At 39.6% G+C, this 20,712-nt stretch overlaps 1 protein-coding gene and 1 long non-coding RNA gene across 60 annotated transcripts in view; one reads left to right on the forward strand and one right to left on the reverse strand.

The window, feature by feature from the left end:
* Nucleotides 1-18,770, forward strand: part of ZNF133 (zinc finger protein 133) — a 28,470-nt gene extending 9,700 nt beyond the window's left edge. For 4 of the 58 annotated variants that reach the window (NM_001387301.1, NM_001352455.2, NM_001387304.1 and 1 more), the window contains 4 exons: nt 6,782-6,952; nt 7,455-7,581; nt 8,072-8,167; nt 16,843-18,770. In NM_001387301.1, coding sequence (NP_001374230.1) covers nt 7,461-7,581; nt 8,072-8,167; nt 16,843-18,590 — 1,965 coding nt within the window. In that variant the 5' untranslated portion in view covers nt 6,782-6,952; nt 7,455-7,460 and the 3' untranslated portion in view covers nt 18,591-18,770. Of the gene's footprint in view, nt 1-62; nt 239-6,781; nt 6,953-7,441; nt 7,582-8,044; nt 8,168-8,479; nt 8,591-11,942; nt 12,081-16,842 lie in introns of all 58 variants that reach the window. The other 54 variants (NM_001387303.1, NM_001283000.3, NM_001387298.1 and 51 more) reach the window with 34 other exon arrangements.
* The window catches only part of ZNF133-AS1 (ZNF133 antisense RNA 1), a 47,923-nt gene continuing 40,345 nt past the window's right edge, over nt 13,135-20,712 (reverse strand). Inside the window, exons 5-7 of one of the 2 annotated variants that reach the window (NR_187569.1) lie at nt 18,486-18,586; nt 16,827-17,211; nt 13,135-15,737 (exon numbers count right to left, since the gene is read on the reverse strand). This is a non-coding gene — a long non-coding RNA (ZNF133 antisense RNA 1). Of the gene's footprint in view, nt 15,738-16,826; nt 17,212-17,603; nt 17,774-18,485; nt 18,587-20,712 lie in introns of both variants that reach the window. The other variant, NR_187570.1, reaches the window with a different exon arrangement.

Raw genomic sequence — 20,712 nt, forward strand, 5'->3', positions numbered from 1 at the left:
CTAGTAAACTGAACAACACACAATTCTACAGTATGAGATAGAGTCTGCATTTCTTTGTTCAGCTTCAAAAGTTCTGCTGCCTGAGAGTAACGTCACAGTAATGGAACGGGAAGATTCTGGAATCTGTGTCCCCACCTAGACAACGATTATACTGGCAGGATCTATCAGGTGTACCTATTTTGGAACTCTGGAGTCTAGTTGAAGGCCTCCAGTTCCCAGGGGGAAGGAAGCATGGAGGGTAAGTCACAGCTAATTTTAGCTCTTAGTATAGTAGCAGCTACCTGTCATCCACCCTGCCAGCCCTATGGCAGGTAGCTGTCCTATATTCCTAGATCAGCTTCTGCATGGCTTGTGGGAGACATGGTGGACAATAAGGACCCTTTACTCCAAATATTGAGGATCTGTGTTCTGATTGTTAATTGCTGTTTCTGATCACAGAGGTGGTCCACTTAAATCCCCTGAAAGCTACTTCAGCCAATTGCAACCCCCCACTGGCTAAAGTGGCTTTTAGGGGATTTAAGGAGCCAGAGTCTGTTTTCCCCCACTGAAGTTCTCTTTTTCCCCTTTGAGAGCGAAATATTTGAGGACTAGTATATTGAAAAGCAACTGCATATGGGGGAATGTAGAAGGTATACCCATGGAAAGGCACAGGCTCAGAAAACACCTGAGAAGACCTTAAGCTTACACCTCAGGCTGATTCTTAGCATGGAGACACCCTACATCAATATTAAAAACAAAACAAAACAAAACAAAAAAACAAAAGGGAGACTCTAACAGAGTTGCTGCTTTATAAGATTTAAATGTCCAGTTTTTGACAAAAATCATAAGGCATACAAAGAATGAGGAAAATATGACCCATTCAAAGGGGAAAAAAAATGAATAAACTGAAAACATCCCTGACAAAGGCCAGATAGTGTACTTACTAAACAAAGACTTTAAAACAGCCATCTTAAAGAGCTAAAGGAAGATGTGGAGAAAGTCAAGAAAATAATGTAAGAACAACATGGAAATATCAATAAACAGACAGAAAACATAAAAATAAACCAAAAATAAATTTTGGATTTAAAAAGTACAACTGAAAAGAAAAGTTCATTAGAGGGATTCAGAAGTAGATTTGAGCAGACGGAAGAATCAGCAAACCAGGAGATAGGACAATTATCAAGTCTGAGGGACACAGACAAAAAGATTAAAGAAAAGTGAACAGAGCCTAAGGGAACTATGGGATACTATCAAGTGGATCAACTATGCCTTATGGGATTCCCAGGAGAAGACAAAAAAGGGACAGAGAGATTGTTTGAAGAAATAATGGCTGACAACTTCCCAAGTTTGATGAAAGACTTGAATATAAACATCCAAGCAGCTCAATGAACTATAAGTAGGAAAACCTCAAAAGGACTCACACTGAGAAACAATGTAATCAAAGCATCAAAAGCCAAAGGTAACAGAGGGATTTTTGAAAGCAGCAAGAGAAAAGCAACACTACGTACAAGGGATCCTCAATAAGATTATTAGCAAATTTCTTACGAAAAACCTCTCGGGCCAGACGTCAGTGGGTTGATATATTTGAAGTGCTAAAAGAAAACGAACAAACAAAAAAGCCTGCCAATCAAAAATTCTGTATCTGGCAAAACTGCCCTTCATTACTGAGGCAGAAATTAAGACATTCTCGATAAGTTGGTGGAGATTACAACCACTAGACCTACCCTACAAGAAATATTAACAAGAGTCTTTCAGGTTGAAATAAAAGGACTTTAGACAGTTACATGAAGCCATATAAAAAAATTAAGTTCTCCATTAAAGGTTAATACACAGGTAGTAATATAAGCTAGTATTACTGTAACTGTGCTTTGTAACTTCACTTTTTGTTCTCTATATGAGACTTAGGAGACTACTGCATTTAAAAAAAAATAGTCTATGTTTTTGACCACACAGTGCATAAAGATGTAATTTTGTGACATCAGTAATGAGTTGGAGATGGAGCTGTATAGGAACACAGTTTTTATATGCTATTGAAGTTAAGCTGATGAGTTCAAATTCAGTTTTTAAAGTTTAGGACATTAAGTGTAATCCCCTTGGTTACCACAAAGAAAATATCTGTAGGATGTAGAGAAAAGCAAGTGAGATGGGAATTTAAAAGTTGCATTGAAAAAATCAACCAAAGACAAAAAAAGGACAGTAATACAGGAAATTAAGAATAAAAATCTGCAAGACATGTAGAAAACAAAAAGCAAAATAGCAGAAATCAGTCCCTCCTTATCAGTAATTATTTTATATGTAAATGCTTTAAACTCTAAAACAATTTGGCATAGTGGATTTAAAAAAACATGATCTAACTATATGCTGTCTACAAGAAACTCACTTTATATCCAAAGGCACAAATAGTTTCAGAAGAATGGAAAAAGACGTTTCATGCAAATAGAAACCAAAGAAAGTAGGAGTGGCTACATTAATACCAGAAAAAATAGACTTTAAATTGAAAAAGGTTACAAGAGATAAGGAAGACATTAATACAAAAGGTTTACTACAGCAAGAAGATATAGAAATTATACACATATACCTCATAACAGACCCTTTAAATATATAAAGAAAAATGGGCAGCATTATAGGGAGTAGAGTTTTATAATAATAATTGGAGATTTCAGTACCCCACTCTAAATAATGGATAGAACAATAAGAAAGACAATAAGTAAAAAAATAGAAGACTTGAACAAGGTGTAAATCCAATAGATATAATAGACATATTCCGAACATTGTACCCAACAAAAATAGAATACACGTTCTTCTCAAGTACACATGGGACATTTTGCAGGATAGACTAAATGTTAGGCCACAAATTAAGACTGATATCATAAGAAGTATCTTCTACCACAACAAGATGAAGATTGAAACCAATAACTGAAAGAAAATTTAAAAATTCACAAATACGTGAAAATTAAAGAACATACTCTTAAACCAGTAGGTAGAGGAATAAACTACAAGGGAAATTAGACCATACTTTGAGTCAAGTGAGAAAGAAACACAACATAGGAAAACTTATGAGATGAAGTAAAGTGCTAGGCAGGAAATTTTTAGCTGAAATACATTAGAAAGCAAAATCTCCAAGGAACAACCTAATTTTACAACTTAGGGAACCAGAAAAAGAAGAACAAACTAAACCTAAAGCTAGCAGAAGGAAGGAAATAATAAACACTGGAGCAGAGTCAAATAAAATAGAGAATAGAAGGATAATAGCAGAAAGCAACAAAACTTAAAGTTGGTTCTTTGAAAGGATTAAATAAATTGACAAACCTTTAGCTTTATTGACTAAGAAAATAAGAAAACTCAAATTACTAAAATCAGAAATGAAAGTGAGGACATTACTATTGTTTCTACAGAAGTAAAAAGGATTGTACAAGAGAACTATAAATTGTATGCCAACAAATCGGATGCCCTAGATGAAGTGGGCAAATTCTTAGAATGCAAAACCTATCAAGACTGAATCATAAGAAATCAAAATTTTGAATAAGTGTATAACTAGTGAGGAGATTGAATCAGTAATCAAAACCATCCTGATAAACAATCAGGCCCTCCTGGACCTGATGACTTTGCTGGTGAATTCTGCCAAACATTTAGAGAAGAACTAACACTAGTTCTTCTCAAACTTCTCCAAAAGTATTGAAGAGGAGGGAATACTGCCTGACTCATTCTGTGAGGCCAGCATTACTCTGATACCAAAACCAGACAAAGACACTACAAGAAAATTACATCATTTATAACATTGATGCAAAAAATTTCAACAAAATACTAGCAAACTGAATTCAACAAGCGTTTGAAAAGAATTATACACCATGACCAAGTGGAATTTATTCCTGAAATGCAGGATTGTTCAACATACAAAAATAAATGGGTATATGGCCGGGCACGGTGGCTCATGCCTGTAATCCCAGCACTTTGGGGGGCCGAGGTTGGTGGATCACCTGAGGTCAGGAGTTCGAGACCAGCCTGGCCAGCATGGTGAAACCACATCCCTACTGAAAATACAAAAAAATTAGCCAGGCATGGTGGCACGTGCCTGTAATCCCAGCTACTCTGGAGGCTGAGGCAGGAGAATTGCTTGGACCCAGGAAGCAGAGCTTGCAGTGAGCCAACATCGTGCCTCTGCACTCCAGCCTGGGTGACAAGAGCAAAAACTCTGTCTCAAAAAAAAAAAAAAAAAATCAATGCATATAAAATATCACATTAACAGATGAAAGAAAAAAAACACATGATCATCTCAATGCAGAAAAGTATTTGACAGAATTTAGCACCCTTTTATAGAAAATAACTAGAAATAGAAGGAAACCACTCTATAATAAGGCCATATGCAAAAATCTCACAGCTAACATACTCCATGGTGAAAGACTGAAAGCTCCAACATCAGCAATAAGGCAGCAATGCCCACTTTTGCCACTTATAGCCAACAGAGTATTGGAAGTGTTAGCCAGAGAAAATAAGCAAGAAAAAGAAACAAATGCCATCTGAATGGGAAAAAGCGAAGTTATCTGAGTTTGCAGGTGGCGTGATCTTAAATGTGGAAGACCCTAAAGACTAAACACACACAAACCTATTAGAACTAGTATATGAAGTCAACACACAGAAATCAGTTGCATATCTATACACTTAACAGTGAACAATCCTAATAGAAAATGAGGAAAACAATTTCATTTAAAATAGCATCAAAAAGAAAAAAATGCTTAGGAATTAACCAAGGAGATGAAAGACATACACTGAAAACTACAAAATACTGCTGAAAGAAAGATGTAAATAAATGGAAAGACATCACATGTTTGTAGACTGGAAAACTATTTTTTTTTTTTTTTGAAACAGAGTTTTGCTCTTTTGCCCAGGCTGGAGTGCAGTGGCATGATCTTGGCTCACTGCAACCTCCACCCCCCAGGTTCAAGCAATTCTCCTGCCTCAGCCTTCCAAGTAGCTGGGATTATAGGTGCTGCCACCACACCTGGCTAATTTTTGTATTTTTTAATAGAAACGGGGTTTCGCCATGTTGGCCAGGCTGGTCTTGAACTCCTGACCTCAGGTGATCCACCTGCCTCGGCCTCCCAAAGTGCTAGGGTTACAGATGTGAGCCACCGCACCTGGCCAGAAAACTTAATGTTAAAATAATAATACTACTCAAACCAATCTACAGAGTCAATGTAATCCCTATAAAAATAACAATTTTTTTAATAAATAGAAAAATTCATATTAAACTTGATATGGAATCTCAAGGGACACTGAATACCTAAAACAATCATGAAAGAGAACCAAGTTGGAGGACTTACAGTTCCTTATTTCAGAATTTACTACAAAGCAACAGTAACCCAAACTGTGGTACTAGCATAAAAACAGACTTACAGACTAATAGAACAGAATAGAGATCCCAGAAATAAACCCTTGCATATATGGTCAAATGATTTTTGACAAGAGTGGCAAGACCATTCAATATGAAAAAGACTATACTCAACAAACGCTATTGGGCAAACTGTATATTTATATGCTGAAGAATGAAGTTGAACCCTTACCTAACACCATATACGCAAATTAACTGAAAATGGATCGAAGACCTAAACATAAATGTGAAAACTATAAAAATTGTAGATGAAAACCTAGGCAAACATCTTTATAACTTTGGATTTGGTGATGATTTCTTGGAAATGACACCAAAACATAGGCAATAAAAGAAAAGAATAGTGAACTTGGACTTCATCAAAATTTAAAACTTTCATTCATCAAAGGAAGGGAATATATTTGCAAGTCACATATCTGATAAGGGATTAATATTTAGAATATATAAAGAACTCCTACAGCTTAACAACAATAGAAGAACGCCCCAGCTTAAAAATGGACAAAGGATTTGAATAGTCATTTTTGCAAAGATATACATGTGGCCAATAAGCACCTGAAAAGATGTTCACTATCATTCACATTAGGAAAATACAAATGAAGACCACAATGAGATACCACCTTATACCAATTAGTATGGCTATTACTTTAAAAAAAACCCAAAACTAGAAAGCAGTAAGTGTTGACAAGGTTGTGGAGAAAACAGAACCCTTGTGCATTGCGGGTGGGAATGCAAAATGGTACAGCTGCTGTGGAAAACAGTGTGGTGGTTCCTATAGAATTGCTGTTTGATCCAGTAATTCCACTTTTGAGTGTATACCCAAAAGAGCTGAAGGGACTTCAACAAATATTTATACAACCATGTGCATGGAAGAATAGCCAGAAGCTAGAAACAAACCAAATGTCTATTAACAGGTGCATAAACAAAATGTAGTATATACACACAATGGAGTATTATTTAGCCTTAACAAGGAAGTAAATTCTGAGTGCATGCTTCTACATGGCTAAATCTCGAAGACATGCTAAGCGAAATAAGTCAGACACAAAAGGACATATATGATTGCACTTATTGTAGCTACATAGAATAACCACATATATAATGGAGACAGAAAGCAAAATGGTCACTACCAGGATCTAGCGGGAGGAAAGAATGGGAAGTTATTGTTTAATAGTTACAGTGTTTCAATGTGGGATGAAAAAGTTCTGGATTCTACCAGTAGGTGGCTTTTATTCCTCCTAGGGGGCCCTCCCTGCCTACATTTTGGCTTTGTCTTCCTTTGCTCATAATGTCCTTGTCCCTGCTCCCCACATGCCTCATCTGTAGTTCCTAGCACTTTCTTCTTCCCTTGATTCCAACCCATTCTCCAAGACCAAGTTGCCATGCCCTGTCTTAGAAACCCCTTTCTAATCTCTATTCCAGTGTGTCCTCCATTTGGAAGTAGTGCTAAGAAAATTAAAAGAATAAAACTGGGCAGGGGCATGAGAATAGGATGCAAAGATGAATTTTTGGACTGAGTGGCCAAGAAGCTCCATGGTGAGCACTCACAGTCTAAGGCTGGAAGTTTAATGAACTGTTTTCTACATTTCACAGGTAAGAAAACTGGGATACTAGTTGGTGGCAGAGGTGGGTCTGAAACTCAGGCACCATGATTCCAGGGCTTCACTACTCTCTGCTTGTGACCATCAGGCCCGAGAAAGCCAAGCCGTAGGATTTTGAGGAATTACTGAGTTATAGTGGACTATTTGATCTTTTAAATTCTTAAAACTCGGAAAATCTGTTATCCTTTATTGTTGCTTACATTTTATATGTTGCTTGCTCTTCTGTCTGCCTAGATTTAAAGTTCCCAAAATGTAGGGACTCCATTTTGTGCACATATACCCTGTGTGGCCCCCCAGGATCTTGACTGTATGGGTTCACAAATGCCACTGGCTGGATTGAGACAGGGATTTAAAAGTCTTGGAACACATGGCACCAGGGTCACTGGGATCTTGATATCTCACCTGCCTCCCCCAGGGCAGCCTTATCCCTGCCCCTCACCCTGCCATGGGCAAGGCTGGCTTCTGAGTGAGCAGGGCTCAGTTTTGTGTTACAGGCACACATGGCATTCAGGGATGTGGCTGTGGATTTCACCCAGGATGAGTGGAGGCTGCTGAGCCCTGCTCAAAGGACTCTGTACAGAGAGGTGATGCTGGAGAACTACAGCAACCTGGTCTCACTGGGTAAGCCTGATATCTGTTAGGATTCCCATTCTTATTGCTGGGAATTTTAGGCTATGCTTGAAGCAGCCATCTTGCTTTGTTACTTGACCTTTGGGTTGGACCAAAAAGCAACTACATTTTATTCGTGTTTCCCCAGGGAGGGTCTGATTTTGCAGAGTGGAAAATGGGTAGATTTGTTGTGTGTGTGCATATGTGTATTGTGTGTGCTACTCTGCATTTCTAGGCCTTTTTTCTCAGGCTGGGGTTCTCATCCTATGTTAACTTGTTTTAAATGAGAGGGGTGTTCATCTACTCGGCATGGAATAGAATCAGTGTACTCTCATCTGAGTTCACTGCCCACTCATCCCTTCCATTTCTGAGAGCCCCACTCACCTCTTCCAACTCAGGGCTTTGTACTACCTTTGAAGTTTCCTAGGCTGTTTAGCTTTGAATTCTTGAATGGGCTCTTGAGCCCATAACCTAGTTACTTATTTTCTTTTCCTGTGAGCAGGAATTTCATTTTCTAAACCAGAACTCATCACCCAGCTGGAGCAAGGGAAAGAGACCTGGAGAGAGGAAAAAAAATGTTCACCGGCAACCTGTCCAGGTGAGTGGGAAAACACTGGACAAATGAGACATGAGCTCAGCAGCTCAGAGGACTGGGGGAGAGGAGGCGTTGCTCAGGTGCTGGGGAGGGAAGCTGTTCCCCTGACCTCCTGGGCTGCTGTTTAGATTGCCTGACACGGCCTCCCTTCCAGATCTCCATCTTCATTCGAGTATGGACGGGGCTTTCCTGGTGTCTCGTCTCCTTCCTCCACTAGGAAGCCTTTTTTCCTCCCAGTGGGTTTCTCCTCTCTAGCTCACTCAGTTCTCTTTCATATATATGGGCTTCTTTCTCTTGTTACTGTTTTTTAAAAAGATCATCAAGAATATGGAAACAACTGTGACCTACAGAAAGAAGGCAAGCCCAGTGGGAGGAAGAAATCTAAAAAGCCAATAGAGAAATTGAAATGGAATTCTAAAAAAAACTGTGAGCTATTCAAGAATGGCTTTTACATTTTATAATGTTATATAAATATCTATATAATATCCTTAATTTTGCCTCTTAACCATCAAAGCCTGAACTATTTACTATCTTTAAGAAAAAGTTTGCTGGCCCATGCTCTAAGGGAGTACAATACATAGCCTTAACTTTTTATATTCTATTAATACTTAATCTGGGTAAAATATAAAATGTAAGAGCATTGCAATTACACAGTTCCAATCACCCCCCCTCCCAACATCCTTTGTACTATAATTGTCATTTGTATTATACACTCCTTATTACAATGTTAAAATGTTTGTTTTAAATGTTCATCTGGATTTGTTTTCTACAATGTATTTTTTTAATTAAGAGAAAAAATAGTCTTTAACTTATCCAGATAATTTATCATTTTCTGTTCTTTTTGTTTGTTTGAAAATCCGAGTTTACCTTTGGTATTATTTTTCTTGAACCTTAAGGACTTCATTTGGCATTTCTTATGGTACAGGTGGCAGTGTATTCTCTATTGCTTCTGAAAGTGTCTTTATTTTACCTTCATTCTTGAAGTGTATCTTCGCTCGATGTAGAATTCTACATTGGTTATTTTTTCAGCACGTTAAAGATAGCATTCCATTGTTCTGCCTGCCATTGTTTCTGATGGAGAAGTCACCATGAACATAATTTAGCTTTATTTCCTTTGGCTACTTTTCTCCATACTTTTGGTATTCAGCAGTTTCACTGTGATGTGACTGCCTTAAGTACATTCTTCCTTTACATGTTTTTATCTGCCTGAATCTCTCTGTCCCCTTTTGGGACTATAGGCACATGTATATTAGTCCTTTTTATATAATCCCACAGGTTATAGATCCTTTCCATATTTTTAAATCTTTTTTTTCTCTCTGTTCTTTAGACTGGATGATTTCTGTTGGTCTGTCTTCAAGTTTACTGTCTCATTTGTCATTTCCAATGTGCTAAGCTCTGGCCAGTGAATCCTTCATTTCACTTATTTTTCAGTTCTGCAATTTCCATTCACTTTTACTACACTTTTCTTTGTGGTGAGATTTCCTATCTGTTCACTAATTATAATTAAATTTTACTTTATCTTCTTTAAATCAGACACTAAGTGGATAACTTATTAAGTGAAAAAGTTATAGGATTTTGTATACTATGCAGTTGAGTTTGTTGTTAAACAAAGAGAAGTGTATGAAAGAGTATATATCCATATGTTTATGTGAACATAGAAGTCTGTTGTTATTTACCATTACTAGTGGTTACCTCTGTGGGGATAGAATTGGGGAGGGTTGGACAAGGGGCTGCTGAGAATTTTTCATCCTACTTTGCATTATTTTTAAATGACAGACACATAGATAACTTTAAGAAATTATATATGTGCTTTAATTTTTAAAATTCTTTTGACAGTTTTATAAATGTTTGCACAGAAGTATATATTTTCTTTTTCTGGGTAAGAAATTTTCTCCTCTTGTTTTTATTAAATTGATTAATTCTGTCTTCAAATTGAGGGACCATAGCATACATAATATAAATTGTCGCTGTTTTTCAACTTGCTTGTATCCTTACTGTTCATCTGTTAGAAGGAATCCTAAAGCTCTCCACAGTCGTAATTTATATCAACTTCTCCATTTATTTCTAAGTTTTTGTGTTATATTTCACTTTATTGTTCTATTAGGTATAGAAAGGTTCAGGATATTTTTATCTTACTCATTAATGAAGTTTTTAATGCTGAAATTCTCTTAGTTCCATGAGCTATTGTTTCCTTTAACTTCCTCTTTATTTCTTTTTAGTCTTAGCACTGTACTTTCTGGTGCATCTTTTTGGTATTTTATTGTTCATCCTTTTATTTTAAAATAAAAACATTGTCATTTGGGTGTTTTGCTTTTAAGCAGCAGCATGTAGCTGGTGTTGCATTTGCTGTCAAACCAAGTGGTGTTAACTTTTAATAGTGACTTTACTTAATAACAGATAAATTTCATGAGACTTGCTCAGGGGTTGACTGAGGCAGATGAGTAGGTGTTTTACTACAGCAATAGGAAAGAAGGAAGGTCAGGGCAAAGGAAGTAAAGCATCTGTATTAGTCACCTTGGGCCGCCATGACAAAATACTGTGGACTAGCTGGCTTAAACAACAGAAATTCATTTAGTTATAGTTCTGGAAGCCAGAAGTTCAAGATCAAGTTGTCAGCAGGTTTGGTTGCTCTGAGTCCTCACTCCTGAACTTACAGATGGCCACCTTCCCCCTGTGTCTTCACATGGCCCTTTCTCAATGCTCACACATCTTTGTCGTCTCTTCCTCTTCTTAAAAGGACACCAGCCCCATTGGATTAGGGCCCACCCTTACGACCTTATTTAACCTTAATTACCTCTTTAAAGGCCCTGTCTCCAAATACAGTCACATTAGGGATTACAGCTTCAACATAAGAATTTGGGGGAAACACAACTCAGTCCATAACAGCATCCTTGTGAGAGCACCATAGTGATTTCATAGACTCTCCGCCGAATATATAGTTCCATAAAAGGTCAGTTGGATATGTAAGTCCATTGGATCTCAGTTGTATGAAGGAGTAAAGATGAGGGACTGGTGTATAAGCTGAAAGGTCATGGATTGGAGCCCCAAATAAGGTCAGGAACCAATGTGCCCATGGTGCTTGAGCAAAGTGAGTCAGAAGGTAGAAGAAAAGGCTGTGTCAGAGAAGGGAATGTGCACAGGAGAGAATGTGAAGATTGTGCAGTGTCTGTGAACAGCATTCACAGTGCAGGTGAGGTCAGTGTTGCTGAGAAGTTGGAGTCTTAGCCAGAGGCTCAGCCCTGTGGAGCACCCTGAGAGTGCTGACAGGTATTGGTGTGGAGAGGATGTGAGGCTGGTAGGTGATCAAATATTCAGGGCAGTGTGTGAAACCAGGAGACCTGTGGATGGTCCTAAAAAAAGTATGGTAGGTAATGGTGTGGAAGCCACATTACAAAACAAGGACATTCATCCCACTGTGTAATGCTTGAGATATGAAAGGAAGAAGCTGTCTATCTACTTGAGGGAATCTTACAAAAATCTTCCTCTCAAGGAACAAGAGAGGTGTCTAGCCAAGGACATGGAAGGAATGTTGGACAGAGAAGGAGAGGATGTAGGGGCATTATCTGACCTGTGTGTTCATTCTAGAATTGGCAGGTGGAGGCTGGGAAAATGCTATACACCCTGACCTTTGTACATTTACACAAATATGTGTTTTCTCAACCTGAAAAGTATAGAATTATCAAAACATTTATATTAATAACAAGCAGCTTACCTATCATTGTCTTAAAGCGAAACCTATCTTTTTTGTCTCGTTTTTAATCCTTGTTTTAATTTAAAGAAAAACAGCAGCTCTTACAATGATGTTGAGCACATTAAAAAGAATGCTGTACAATCCAAGGAGCAAGTCATTGTGGTTGCCCAGGAAGCTGTCTTGGAAACCCAAAATATATGTGTAACGGGAGGAAGACTGTTCTAGGTATAAAATACATCTTAACGGTTTCATTATTCTATATTTGGGACTTGGATTTAAGACAGGCAATATCAGAATCCTCAAAATAGGCTAGTTACAAGAAAAGTATTTAATTTTCTCGGCTGTTTCATTAATCAGAATGCTAATTCAATAAATGTAACGGAATCATTTGCAACAACATGGATGAACCTGGAGGATGTTATGTTAAGTGAAATGAGCCAGTCACAGAAAGACAAATACCACACAATCTTACTTATATGTGCAGTCTAAAAAGGTTGGACTCATAGAGAAAGAGAATACAATGGTGGTTACTAGGGGATGGGGGTGGTTGGGGAAGATGTTGGTCAAAGGATTTTCACATAGAAAGAATAAGTTCAAGAGATCTATTGTATAACATGATGACTACAGTTAATAACAATATATTGTATTCTTGAAAATCACTAAGAGTAGATTTTGGGTGTTCTCATCACAAAAAATGATAGGTATGTGAGGTGATGCAATATGTTAATTAGCTCAATTTAGCCATGTCACAATGTATATATATTTCAAAATGTACACAATGAATATATACATTTTTTGTCAATTTAAAAATTAATTAGTTTTTTAAAAGTAACAGGAGTTACCATAATTATGAAGAATTATATGCCCTCCTGAAGTGACTAATCCTTGTTATTTATATTGACTAAGAAGCCTGGTAAGAGGTAACACAGAAGCCTAAGAATGAGAACTAAAGCCAGGTGCTGTGGCTTGCACCTGTATTCCTAGCTACTCAGGAGGCTGAGACCAAGGCAGGAGGATCACTTGAGGCCAGGAGTTCAAGACCAGCCTGGGCAACATAGCGAGACTCTGTCTCTAAAAAAATTTTTATAATTAGCCAGGGTGAGGTGTTGTGTGCCTGTAGTCCCAGCTACTTAGGAAGCTGAGGAGGGAGGATTGCTCGAGCCCAGGAATTTGGGCTACGTGATCTATGATTGTACCACTGCACTTCAGCCTGGGCCACAGAGTGAGATCCTATCTGTAAGAAATTTAAAAAATAAAGAATGAGAAATTGGATATCTGGTGAGGTAAAAATAGAGCTTTTATTTCTAAGTTGAGTATACAAAAGACAAAAATTAGTTATTTTTCATATGGAGGACAGAAATACACCAAGTTATAATTCTTTTTTAGTTACCAGTATTATTGTCAAGTTTAAGCTTTTTTCTGTTTATTGGCAAGCTAAATAATTGTACATGTTTTTAAGCATATATAGTGTTGATGGACGGTATTTAAAGTTTTAAGTTTCAGTCTCAAATAATTAACATAAGGCTGATCTCATTAGTTTAGGCAAAAATACAAGTAAAATTATTGCATGAGAACACTTTGTATAGTTTTGTTTTTGAATTTTTTAACAAAAATATTTATTCTTATAATGATTTCCTAACAGAGATCTTAGAAATTGAAAAACAACTTAATCAGTCTTAAGTTAAAAACTGCCTGAAAAATATGCCATTTCTGGTATTTACTTTGAGTAAAGTAATTGTAGATTCACGTAATTTCTGGCACTGTCTGTAAATTATAAGATACTAGTTGGACACATATATCTACATGTGCCTAATCTTACATATTTATGAAGGCAATATTAGCCTATCTGATTTTTAAAATCAGTATAGGTTGACTCTCCCTTATCCAAAATGCTTAGGACCATAAGTGTTTCAGATTTTGGGTTTGTTTGGTTGGTTGGTTGGTTGGTTTGCATTTTGGAATATTACCATAAACATAATGAGATATCTTGGGTATAGGACCCTAGTCTAAACAGGAATTTCATTTATGTTTTGTGTACACCTTGTACACTTGGCCTGAAGGTAATTATATTTTTCCTTTGAGGATGCTGAATAAACTGAATTTTATGTGCCTGTGTTTTGACTATGACCTGTCACATGAGATCAGCTGTGGAATTTTCTACTTGTGGCTGCATGTTGGTGCTTAAAGATTTTCAGATTTTGGAACTTTGCAGATTAGGGATGCTGAACCTATATATTAGTCTTGGAAGTTTAGATTAGTTAAACTTTCTTTGAGAAAGCCTACATATCAGAACCAAGTTTTATATCACTAGAATATTATGCTAATGTTATGTTTACACTGATAAAATAAGGGAAAAGACATTGCATTTGTCTTATTTGCAGGCTTTATCTTACTTTGAAATATTGATTCCACCCTTTAGTTACATACCAGCTAGTAAGGTTGTTTACATATTGTAGTAAATAAGCTCTGAGTGCCTCACATTTCTTTCTTATCGTGCAACCTAATAAGCAAGGTGCCTGGCTTAATTCACAGCTAAACTTTTTTCTTCAGAGCCAGAGCTTCAGCTGCAGCAAGAAAGATTTCCTTCAGAAACTGGCATATTTGAATCATTAGGAGTTCAATTTTCAATTTTATTTATTTTTTATTTTTTTGAGACAGAATCTTGCTCTGTTGCCCAGGCAGGAATGCAGTGGCGCAATCTCGGCTCACTGCAACCTCCGCCACGCAGGTTCAAGCACCTGCCTCAGCGTCCTGGGTAGCTGAAATTATAGGTGCACACCACCACAACCAGCTAATTTTTATATTTTTAGAAGAGACAGGGTTTCACCATGTTGGCCAGGCTGGTCTCAAATTCCTGACCTCAAGTGATCCACTCGACTCAGCCTCCCAAAGTGCTGGTACAGGCGTGAGCCGCTACACCTGGCCTGATTTTTTTTTTTTAATTTAGTTATTCTCGAGTTTTTAAATTTTAAATTTGTGTCAGTGCCCATTAGTCTCTATAAACCTATCAGTGCAGGAGCACCTTAGATTTAAAATATTTTATAAATAAATTCATTAACCTGGTAATATTTTGTGTTAAAATTTCTTCTAAGACTAAATATTCCTAGTGTATACACAGAATGCCAAATTTGGTGACCAACTGAAAAAACTGACTAATGGAGAATTAAAGTTTTGTTTTTCTTCTGTCACTCCATACAAATGTTAAAACCATGTTGAATTAAGATTTCTCTGAAGGCGCTTCTATAATTCTGAAATACATTTAGTGTAAATAAAAGCCTGCCACTTTACACATAGGCACAGCAGCTAGGGCTGTAATAAGCCTACATATCAGAAGCCTTGGTTCTTATAAGGGTGGGTGGGAGGTATTACCTGTGTCAAAATTATAGTCACTGTGCTTAACTCAGGACAGACACAGGAGTTCCTTTTACTGCTGAAAGACCTACTTACCCATGACTATGCCCTAATATGTATGAAGGTAAGCCAAGGAGATATGAGCTGTTGCTTCCCTTCTCCTGTCGTATTCAAGAGAAACAAAATAGCCAATAAATCAAATCTGACAACTCCACCCAACTCAAGTTTCCATAATGTCAAGGAAGTTGCTGGCCAGAAATAGAACACAAAATCAGTTATGAGTTGTGGAACCTCAGACAACCTAGATTAAACCAAATAAACTTAGTGAGAACTCAGTGAAAGCAGGTAGGATTTACTGCTGAAAAAGGGTCTTGAGGGACCACCCGGCACCTGTCCTGAATACAAGGGCTGGAAGAGCAGGCTTTCTCTGCAGGAGCTCCTCAGCACTGGCGTGGGGAGAGGCAGGCATCAGGTTAGATTGTTGGTTCCTCTGTCTGTCATCAAAGCCTGAGGTAAAGGCCACCAGAGCTACTGAAAGGAGAAAAGTTGAGCTTATTTACTGGCCAGGCAGTGAAACACAGAAGGGAAGACATTCACTTGGGCAGTTTGCTGAGTAGGAAGAGTCAGGAATTTTTAAGTGGTAAGAAAAGGTGGTTCTGCTCATTGTAATTAGGATTGAAAAGTAGCATTTCGCGTAGCATGGAATAATTCTGGAATGTGGATGTGTACACTTTTAATAAGCTTGATTTTTCATTGGTCAAGAAAAGAGCATTCGGGTAGATCCATCGAGATCTCTACCTCGTTACTCATATTGCCTGGTCATTGATTGCCTTCAGCTGACTAGACCCAGTTGTGATAAAACAATATACTCAATGTTGACATCTCCTACACAAGAGGCACTATAAGTAGAAATTTCTTCTTTTACACTGATTTTTGGGGAAAATTTTATTTACACTAATTATGGAAATAGGTTGGGGGTACCAGGAGGGAGCATCCTTTAAAGTCATTGGGGACCTGGGCTCTGTGTTGTCCACTGCTGAAAGCCTACTGCCTCCTAGAAATTCTGGCATAGAGTAATCTAACAAATCTTTGTTGAGTGGGGAGACAGCAGCTCGGGTGTGTCACATACTGTTTCACTACCCTCTCATGCTCCTCCCTACACCAGGGCTTCTCTGTTCACTCTAAATAACTGCTTTCTCAATCCATCCCCTTGTCCTCATAGGGAAATAAGGAAGGACATTTCCACATGAGTCCTAGGGTTAGACATCTTTCCATCAAAGAAGAAAGTACTTGTGGACATGATTTATCTCAGTGTGCATGGTTGTGAGTTAGAAGGTAATTAATTGTATTGAAGGTGAGGGGGAACTGTTCCATACTGGCCCTATTTACACACCCAAAAATGCCAGGGATGCTTGTGTAGTCTTATATGTAGAGCAGGTCTTAACAAGTGGGTTTTCTAGATTGTAATGCTAGACGTAATAAGTAGCAGTAGGCTGGAGAGTAGGCCATGTAAAGGAAGTCCCGGTTGGATGGCACTTAAGGCCTAAGTGTTTTGAAGCCTAGGGGATCTGACTAAGCTGATTGCTCAGGCTGCCCACTGAGGACTCAGTTGTGACTCACACTTTTCTCTCTGCAGCAGATCCAGAGCCAGAGCTCTACCTCGATCCTTTCTGCCCTCCGGGTTTCTCCAGTCAGAAATTCCCCATGCAGCATGTGCTGTGTAATCATCCCCCCTGGATCTTCACATGCTTGTGTGCAGAAGGTAACATCCAGCCTGGGGATCCGGGCCCAGGGGACCAGGAGAAGCAGCAACAAGCCTCTGAGGGGAGACCCTGGAGTGATCAAGCAGAAGGTCCTGAGGGAGAAGGTGCCATGCCTTTGTTTGGAAGAACCAAGAAAAGGACTCTGGGAGCGTTCTCCAGGCCACCCCAGAGGCAGCCAGTCAGCTCTCGGAACGGCCTCAGAGGGGTGGAGTTAGAAGCCAGCCCAGCTCAGTCAGGGAACCCTGAGGAAACAGACAAATTGTTGAAGAGGATAGAAGTCTTAGGATTTGGAACAGTCAACTGTGGAGAGTGTGGACTGAGCTTCAGCAAGATGACAAACCTGCTCAGTCACCAGCGGATACACTCAGGGGAGAAGCCCTACGTGTGTGGGGTATGTGAGAAGGGCTTCAGCCTAAAGAAGAGCCTCGCCAGACACCAGAAGGCACACTCGGGGGAGAAGCCAATTGTGTGCAGGGAGTGTGGACGAGGCTTTAACCGGAAGTCAACGCTAATCATACACGAACGGACACACTCCGGTGAGAAACCTTACATGTGCAGTGAGTGTGGGCGAGGCTTCAGCCAGAAGTCAAACCTCATCATACACCAGAGGACACACTCAGGGGAAAAGCCTTACGTGTGCCGGGAATGTGGCAAAGGCTTCAGCCAGAAGTCAGCTGTCGTGAGACACCAGAGGACACACTTGGAGGAGAAGACCATCGTGTGCAGTGACTGTGGCCTGGGCTTCAGCGACAGGTCAAACCTCATCTCCCACCAGAGGACGCACTCTGGGGAGAAGCCCTACGCCTGCAAGGAGTGTGGGCGATGCTTCAGGCAGAGGACCACCCTTGTCAACCACCAGAGGACACACTCAAAGGAGAAGCCCTATGTGTGCGGGGTGTGTGGGCACAGCTTCAGCCAGAATTCAACCCTCATCTCTCACAGGCGGACACACACTGGGGAGAAGCCGTATGTTTGTGGGGTGTGTGGGCGAGGCTTTAGTCTCAAGTCACACCTCAACAGACACCAGAACATACACTCAGGAGAGAAGCCCATTGTGTGCAAGGACTGTGGCCGGGGCTTCAGCCAGCAATCCAACCTCATCAGACACCAGAGGACGCACTCAGGCGAGAAGCCCATGGTGTGTGGGGAGTGCGGGCGAGGCTTCAGCCAGAAGTCAAACCTTGTTGCACACCAGAGGACGCACTCAGGGGAGAGGCCGTATGTGTGCCGAGAGTGCGGGCGAGGCTTTAGCCACCAGGCCGGTCTCATCAGGCACAAGCGGAAGCACTCGAGGGAGAAGCCCTACATGTGCAGGCAGTGTGGACTGGGCTTTGGCAATAAGTCAGCTCTAATTACACACAAGCGGGCTCACTCGGAAGAGAAGCCTTGTGTGTGCAGAGAGTGTGGCCAAGGCTTTCTCCAAAAGTCACACCTCACCTTACATCAAATGACACATACGGGGGAGAAGCCATATGTGTGCAAGACGTGTGGGCGGGGCTTCAGCCTCAAGTCTCACCTCAGCAGACACAGGAAGACCACGTCTGTCCACCACAGACTGCCAGTGCAGCCCGACCCTGAGCCGTGTGCAGGGCAACCTTCGGATTCCTTATACTCTCTCTGAAGGCAAAGATGGGGACAAGGACTAAGAGTCAGAATGTTGACACTTTGATGAAATGGAGTAGAGAAATGCATTCTGTAAGTGGTCAAAGGACATTTGACTGTTTACTTTCTCCACACTAAGTCTTCTCCATGTTTTGTGGCCTTCGGTTGTAATAAACTTGGCTTCTTTATACATCTGTAACTGTGCCTGTGTCCCTCATTCACTCATCTATAACAGGGATAAGGAATGATACAGACATCTGAAACCCTTAAGTCCACTATTCCACAGGAATTCATTTCCTCGGAAAACAAGAACCAAATCATTTGCAGATTTATTAGAAAGACTGGACCTTTGTATGGGGAGAGAATCTAGGAACTACATAAAGAGATTTCATGGGATGGGAGGGGATCTTCCAGAAAGTGTAGCTTCCTCTAGTCCGGCTCCATCTGCAGCTACCCCCATCCCTTGGCTCTGACAGCCCCTTTCCTGCTTCTCTCCTCCCAGCTTTCAAACATCTCCGTTGTTGCCTTTGCCCCTGACTACCTTTGTTGTGTTTCTCAGGCTTTTTTAGTCCCTGGTCCTTCCATCGGGGGCCCTCTCACCAATACATTGTCCCCAGCACTCCAGTCCCACGGCCTGGTCTTGCAGCTGTGACCAAGCAGAGCCTTGGATCTCAGTTACACCCATATCAGACCACCAAGAAAATAGATAATCTCCAACCACCCCCAGCTATACCACCTCATCAGCACCTCCATAACTACAGTCAGGCACTGCATAATGTTCGTCTGCGACGGACTGCATATACAGTGGTGGGCTGGTAAGATTATAGTGGAGCTGAAAAATTCCCGTTACCTAGTGACTTTGTAGACCTCCCAGTGGGACAAGATACAGAGGTGGATAAGACAGTGATATGGATCCTGACCCTGTATAGACCTAGGCTAATGTGTGTGCTTGTGTCTTCGTTTTTAACAACAACAACAACAAAAATTTAAAATTTTTAAAATAGAAAAAGCGTATAGGATAAGGATAAAACAAAAAATATTTTCGTACAGCTGTACAGTGTGTTTTTGTTTTAAGCTAAGTTACAAGTGAGTCAAAAAGTAAAAAAATTTAAAGCGTATAAAGTTAAAAGCTACAGTAAGCTAAGGCTAATTTATTATTGAAGAAAGAAAAATTTAAAAATAAATTGAGTGTAGCCTAAGGGTACAGTATGTATGTCTGTAGTAGTGTATAGTAATGTCCCAGGCCTTCACACTCACTCACCACTCACCGCCTCGCCCAGAGCAACTTCCAGTTCTGTAACTTGCCATGTATGGTAAGTGTCCTATACAGGTGTACCATTTTTTTTTTGGCTTTTATGTTGTATTTTACCTTATTTTTTCTATGTTTAGATGCATAGACTCACCCAGAGCAGCTTCCAGTTCTGCAACTTACCATTTATGGTAAGTGCCCTCTACAGGTGTACCATTTTTTTTGTCTTTTATGCTGTATTTTACCTTACTTTTTCCATGTTTAGATGCACAAATAACTTAGCATTGTGTTACAGTTGCCCACAGTACTCAGTGCCTACAGTACTCGGTGTAACCTGCTACACAGGTTTGTAGCCTAGGAGCAATAGGCTATACCATATAGCCCAGGTGTATAGTAGGCTGTGCCATCTAGGTTTGGTAAGTACACTCTATAGTGTTTGCAAAATGACTAAATTACCTAATGATTTCTCAGAACATATCCTTGTTAAGCAACACTTGACTGTATATGACAATCTTTAACCATGTGTCTTCCTCAGCCCTCCAATAACAGAGATTAAACCCTTGAAGCCACATTCCCCAATCAGTCCTGTAATACCAGTGTTTAGGACTTTGAATCATGCTCCTCTATCCCAGGACCCAGTCCCCATGTCAGTCATCAGGTAACTGATCTAAGGTCTTTAAGCCACACAGTCTCAATAGTTATCCTATCTCAGGGCTTAAGGTATTTAACCCTACATAAATATTATTAACCATACCTCCTTCAGTGTCTGGTTTTGCTCAAAATAAGTGTCCTTCAAGGTAAAGATCATCTCAAGGGTGCAACTGTAAGACCCCTTTTTAAGACTTCAGAAATATTTAAGTGTGTGGCTCCTTGACTATACACAAAATGGTTC

The sequence above is a fragment of the Homo sapiens genome, chromosome 20 (genome assembly GCF_000001405.40).
Source record: "Homo sapiens chromosome 20, GRCh38.p14 Primary Assembly".
NCBI lineage: Eukaryota > Metazoa > Chordata > Mammalia > Primates > Hominidae > Homo > Homo sapiens.